We start from the raw sequence: 6206 nt of genomic DNA, 5'->3' as shown, positions 1-6206 counted from the left end.
AAAAGAATTAGTTTCACCATTTATTGCAGAATAATGTATAACTCACACGCAGGGTTTAAGTACATAATTTAATGTAGCTGGCAAATAGTGTGTTTCCAAGAAAGAGATATAATACACTAACTAATTAGCTATGGTTTGTAATATAGATAAATTGGCAGCTGGAAGTGACAACCATTACTTTATAATTAATTGAGTTAGATCTTTCTAAAATTAATTAGTTAGGAAATACAGCTGGGCAAAGATTGATGCACAGGAGGCCTTTGGTGCTCTCACCAGAAATCAAGGTCAAGCAAGTGATTATGGCTATTCCACCTTTTTACTGCTTGTTCAGCAGTAATTCAACCACCAGTTATTTCTGATATGCTCCCTAATTGTCTTCTTTGGGTTCTTTTGAGTCTTCCAGAAAATCCACAGAAACTGTGTTTTCTAAAATTGACCAATCCTAATTATAACTCTATTGTTCCACAGACATTTTTTTAAAAAAATAAATATAATTATTGAGTGTTTAATACATATTAAACTATGTAAATATGATAAACCACTTATGTACTTTATTTCATTTTTCCTCACAAGATGCCTATAAATTAGGTTTTCAAAGAGGTGGCATAACATAATGGTGAAAGCCAAGATTCAAATGCCTGACTTTCTAGATTTAGATCCCAGCTCTGCTAGTAACTGCTGTGTGACTTTGGGTAAATTATTTAACCTATTTCTGAGTTTCCTTATCTGTAAGATAATGATGATAATAGTACCTTCCTCATAAATCTGTATGGATTACATTGGTTAATCTGCACATGCGTGAGTTTAAAATAAAAATAGGGCTGTCACAGTGTTATTATTTTTCTGCACCACCACCTGCCCATAATTATAATAGGTTTCATTTGTGAGCACTTACATGATTCTAACCATTTTAGGCATTTTAACTGACTTAATCTTCCCAAGAATCCCATGAGGTAGATGTGATGTGAGTTGAATGAATCCTCCTTTTACAGGTGAGGGAGTTGAGGCTCAGAGAAGACTGATAACTTGCCTAAAGTTACCTTCTTTACTAGTGTAAGAACCAAGATCTACTCTCAGCTTCAAAACCCATGTTTTTTACTACTCTATGTGGCTGCTCCTCTTTCAGCACTGCCTGTATATCAGACACTCAGAATGAAGTGGGGTCCCAGGAAGGAGCAGTGTTCTTTTTGTGACCCTGTCATTACATGCACTCTTCACCTGGAATGCTCTGCTTCTTTTGCCCTTGTTTTAAATACCTATTCAGCCTTAAATAGTCAACAACAGCAACAAAATCACCTCTGCTGAAAAGCCTTCCTTAATGTTTTCATAATCTTCCATAATAATTTTATGCTTATCTCTTTTATAACATTTTAAAGTCAATATGTTAGTCAAATGATCAATAAATATTTACTAGTTCATCAATGACTTTTTATTGAGTCCCTTTTTTCAAGGGGCTTGTATCCTAATGGAGGAAGATAGCCTTTAAACATGGGGGAGAAATAAAAAAATTAAGATACTGTCAGATGTGCAAAATGACTTTTGGAGAGGATGCAATGGGTTAATGTAGAAAGGGATTGAATGTGCTGCTTCAACTAGATTGACTGGAGATAAGACTTGAATAATGGGAAGTAGTCCCATTATTGGGGAGAGAGATGATTGGAGTGATATTAAGCTGTTTTTTGGATGCTGGCTTTAGAAAAGGAAGGAATAAGGTGAGCCACCTTGGTGTTTCCTGCTCACTCTGGGAGAAGTTTTGTTGCTTGATAGCTCTTAGAGATTGAGGTTTAAAAATAACTTATAAAAAAGCCAAAAGGGATGACCAATTTTAATAGTTAATTATAAAGAATTCCTAGATTGGAGAGATGATTGGAGATGAGACTTGAATAATGGAAAGTAGCTGTTACAGTAGGTAGCTAGTCATACATGAGCAGGGCAAGAGAAGGCTCTCCCTGCCACACGCACACACCAGGAATATCAGGCGACCATCAGATGATGATCACACCGTTGTTAAGTGTCTCTCTAAAGTATTAGTTGGTCGCAGCCAGCACCTTAGAAAGGCACTCCCTGACAAACAGGAACACCTGAAACTGGTGATCAGCAGCTTCTCGGTAAGGATCTTAGGTGTTGAGCAAGAGAGCTGAAGCATAAACATTAGGAGGCACAATGGCAGAGTTTAACTGGTATATGACATCTCCAGTGATATACCACTTCTAGGGACAGCTCCTAGGGACATTTGACAGGTAAGGTAAGAGAAGAACACCTCAAGTGAGCGTGCGTATAACTCCAGTAAACACACTGCACACGCTCCCCTCCCAACCGCTAGTAGGCCACTGCACATGCGGACAGCCCACCCCAAGGGAAGAATCAGGGAAGAAGTAATGAAGACCCCAGAGCAAGCCAATGTATAAAACCCCAAGTCCAGAGGTCAAACTGTGCACTTGATCTCTCGTTTCCCGTTTGGACCTCTTCCAAGTGTACTTTATTTCCTTTCATTCCTACTCTAAAGCTTTTTAATAAACTTTCACTCCTGTTCTAAAACTTGCCTCAGTCTCTTCTTCTGCCTGATGACCCTCGGAAGAATTCTTTCTTCTGAGGAGGCATGAACTGAGGTTGCTGCAGACTTGTATGGATTTGCTGCTAGTAACATAGCCAGCCCTGCAAAGATACAGCATTCCAAGCAGAAGCACCAGCAAGTGCAAAGGCCCATTGCTGGAATCAAAGTTGCTGCTTTGGAGGGACAAAATGAAACAGAGTGCAACTGTGAATAACATCAAAATACGTATAGCCATTATTTTTTTACAGGCTTATTTCTCCACCTAAACTGTGAACTTTTTAGGGTTAGGATTATTCTCCACTCATTTTTGAATCTTCAGTGTTTAGTATATATCCCTGGACATTGGTTGATTTTGGCCAGTTGCCAGCATGAATCATTGACACAGTGAACTGTTATCACAGATATTTCTCTTTTCTCTTCCTTTTGCCTTCTCCATACTTGTAACTCTTCTGAAAAGAGTTTCATATTTTTCTTTTTTCTCTCTAGTCCCCTCTCCACATTTCTGTTTTCATTTGGTTCTACCTTTCCCCACTTTTATTTATCTTTATCCCTTGATCTCTTTTGTTGCCCCAGGTAATTCCATCCTGAGCTGCAGGGTTCTATCAATAGATAATAGTCTTAGGATAGAAGATGAAGCACATTAGACACCTCTTAGCTCTCTTTAATCCCTACCTTCTTCCACAGACCCCAAAGAATTCCTTATATTTTGGGGTCAGACGCCAAAGCTGAAAACATAACCCAGTCCTGAGATCTTTGTTGGCAAAAGAATGCAAGCTGGTGTCCTTTTAAGCTGTTGTTTTGGATGCTGGCTTTAAAGATGAGAGAATAAGGTGAGCCACGTTGGTGTTTCCTGCTCACCCTGGGAGAAGTTTTATTGCTTGATAGCTCTTAGAGATTGAGGTTAAAAAAGAACTTATAAAAAAGCAAAAAGGAATGACCAATTTTAATAGTTAACTATAAAGGATTCCTAGAGTTCCTTTTCTTCCAGCTGATAGAGAAAAGAAGAAACTCCTGTGCCTTTGTCTTGTAAGGCAGCTTTCATCTGCTCCCCAGGAGTTTACACAGCTATTCAGAAGGAAAAGATAACCAAAGCTGAGCTCAAACCTCCCCTGGGGTCTTAAAGGCCATCTCTTTAGTAGGAAATATGCTGAACCCACAAATCTTGGATAAATAGATTAAATCAGCTTTCCTTCCATTTTTTATTTTCATTTTTCTTTCAGGGAGTAGGAGCCACCTATAAAGAGTTTAGAATCAACTTTGAAAATATAAGATCAGTTTCCTCCTGCCTGTGACTGTTTTTGAGATGCCAGCCAAGGTGACCTTATTCCCTCCCCTTCTTCCCAGGCATTATGAGGCTTTCTGTATAGCCACCTTCGTTGTACAGCTTCAAGCACAACTCAGCTCAATGAACTTTCATTACAATAGAGAAAATCTGGTGCTGTTTCAGAAGCTATTTTTTAGTGTTTGCTTTAGGCTTTAGCTATAAAATGCATATAATACCTTTAATTATTCTAAGTTATTTTAAAAAATAATCTTGCTGCATAAATGTCTTAATCAATAGGATATTTTCTAGAAATTCAAAGGTGAAGAGGCAATCATGTACAAATTATACCCTTGGGCTCTGGAGTCATATTGCCTGAACCAAATGCCTGCACCAACACTGGGCCGTCTTTGGAAAGTTGTTTATTGCCTCTTTGGCTCAGTTTTCTCATGCTTGAATGATAATAAAAGTCTCATGTTGTAGGGTTTGGGGAAGGAGTAAATGAGATAATGGACATAAAGCTCTAAGTACAGTGCCAAACTCAATTTAAACACTTAAATAAAGGTGACAATCATTTTGGCCATCTGAATAGAGGAGTAGCAAGGAAAGAGGAGGGATAAGGTAATCCTACTGGTCTCAGCCATGTTGTTCCAGTTTAATACCCTTGACTGCGTTACTGGCCTCTGTACTCACAGGAGCTGTTCAGGAAGATGCAAGAATTGTTCTGGGAAGCATAGAAATTCTAACATATGCACGAAGTCATCTCATTTGCCAATGTTACTACAATAAAGAATTGTAAACAAAAAAAAAGACATTCAGAATTTCAAGATCATCTAAGAAGGGCAATAGGAGCAAATAAAAAAGAAAACATCAAATCCAATCAAATTGAAAAAAGTGCCTACTACGTGTCTAGTACTGTGTGGGGCTTTCTTGGGAGATTGGGGTGGGGGAAAGGTGACCTAGTCACTACACTTAAAATTCAAATATGGGAGTAATAATTTTAAAAATAATCTGTGATTTGGCAAAAGACATGTAGTCATTGAAGAGAAAGATGCATCTTACTCTTATATGTTCCGTAGCGCTCCTGATACAATATACAATGCAGAGACAATATTCACAGTATTGATTTCAGAGCAAATGTAAAGTTTCTAATATGAAGGAAAAGGCAAGTGACATCTCATCCAGAAAATGGGATAATTACTGTGAAACAATTAAGAACACAGACTCAGGAGACAGAATATCTGAATTTGAGCTTGGACTCCCTTACCAGCTATGCGACCTTGGGCAATCCACTTTGCCCTTTATGTGCTTTATTTTCTCCTCTCTCAAGTGTGAACAAGAATAGTCCTCCCCTCACAGGATTGTCAGCATTAAGTGAGAAAATGCACATAGGCATTGATTCATAGTATGAGCTCAAGAGTTCAATTAATTGTATGGTAGTTTTTTTTATTATTAGCAAAGGATAATTTTAATTTTATCCTATCTTTCTTTGTAAAATTCATCTCTTTTTGACATTTTAACAGATTTTAGTAAATCAGCTTTGTCCTCACTAAACCACATTTATTTATTTATTTATTTATTTATTTATTTTTATTATACTTTAAGTTCTGGGGTACATGTACAAAACGTGCAGGTTTGTTACATAGGTATACATGTGCCATGTTAGTTTGCTGCACCCATCAACTCATCATTTACATTAAGTATTTCTTCTAATGCTATCCCTCCCCTAGCCCCCCACCACCCAACAGGCCCCGGTGTGTGATGTTCCCCTCCCTGTGTCCACTTATGAGTGAGAACTTGCAGTGTTTAGTTTTCTGTCCTTGTGATAGTTTGCTGAGAATGATGATTTCCAGCTTCCTGCATGTCCCTGCAAAGGACGTGAACTTATCCTTTTTTATGGCTGCATAGTATTCCATGGTATATATGTGCTACATTTTCTTTATCTAGTGTATTATTGATGGACATTTGGGTTGGTTCCAAGTCTGCTATTGTGAATAGTGCCACAATAAACATATGTGTGCATGTGTCTTTATAGTAGCATAATTTATAATCCTTTGGGTACATACCCAGTAATGGGATCGCTGGGGCAAATGGTATTTCTAGTTCTAGGTCCTTGAGGAATTGTCACACTGTCTTCCACAATGGTTGAACTAATTTACACTCCCACCAACAGTGTAAAAGCATTCCTATTTCTCCACATCCTCTCCAGCATCTGTTGTTTCCTGACTTTTTAATGACCACCATTCTAACTGGCATGAGATGGTATCTCATTGTGGTTTTGATTTGTTTTGCATTTCTCTAATGACCAGTGATGATCATTTTTCATATGTCTGTTGGCCACATAAATGTCTTCTTTTGAGAAGTGTCTGTTCATATCCTTTGCCCATTTTT

General features: G+C 37.9%; 1 annotated feature.

Annotated features, from left to right (window-relative positions):
• Positions 2925 to 3861: an enhancer, noted in NCBI's record as "OCT4-NANOG hESC enhancer chr12:89345592-89346528 (GRCh37/hg19 assembly coordinates)". NCBI's record gives its function as "activates a minimal SCP1, AML or CMV promoter by ChIP-STARR-seq in naive and primed H9 embryonic stem cells {active_cell/tissue: H9 hESC(naive and primed)}" and the evidence as "EXISTENCE:reporter gene assay evidence [ECO:0000049][PMID:30033119]".

The sequence above is a fragment of the Homo sapiens genome, chromosome 12 (assembly GCF_000001405.40).
Source record: "Homo sapiens chromosome 12, GRCh38.p14 Primary Assembly".
NCBI classification, from domain to species: domain Eukaryota; kingdom Metazoa; phylum Chordata; class Mammalia; order Primates; family Hominidae; genus Homo; species Homo sapiens.
The sequence above is the reverse complement of the archived record's forward strand: the minus strand, read 5'-3'. Positions and strand labels throughout refer to the sequence as shown.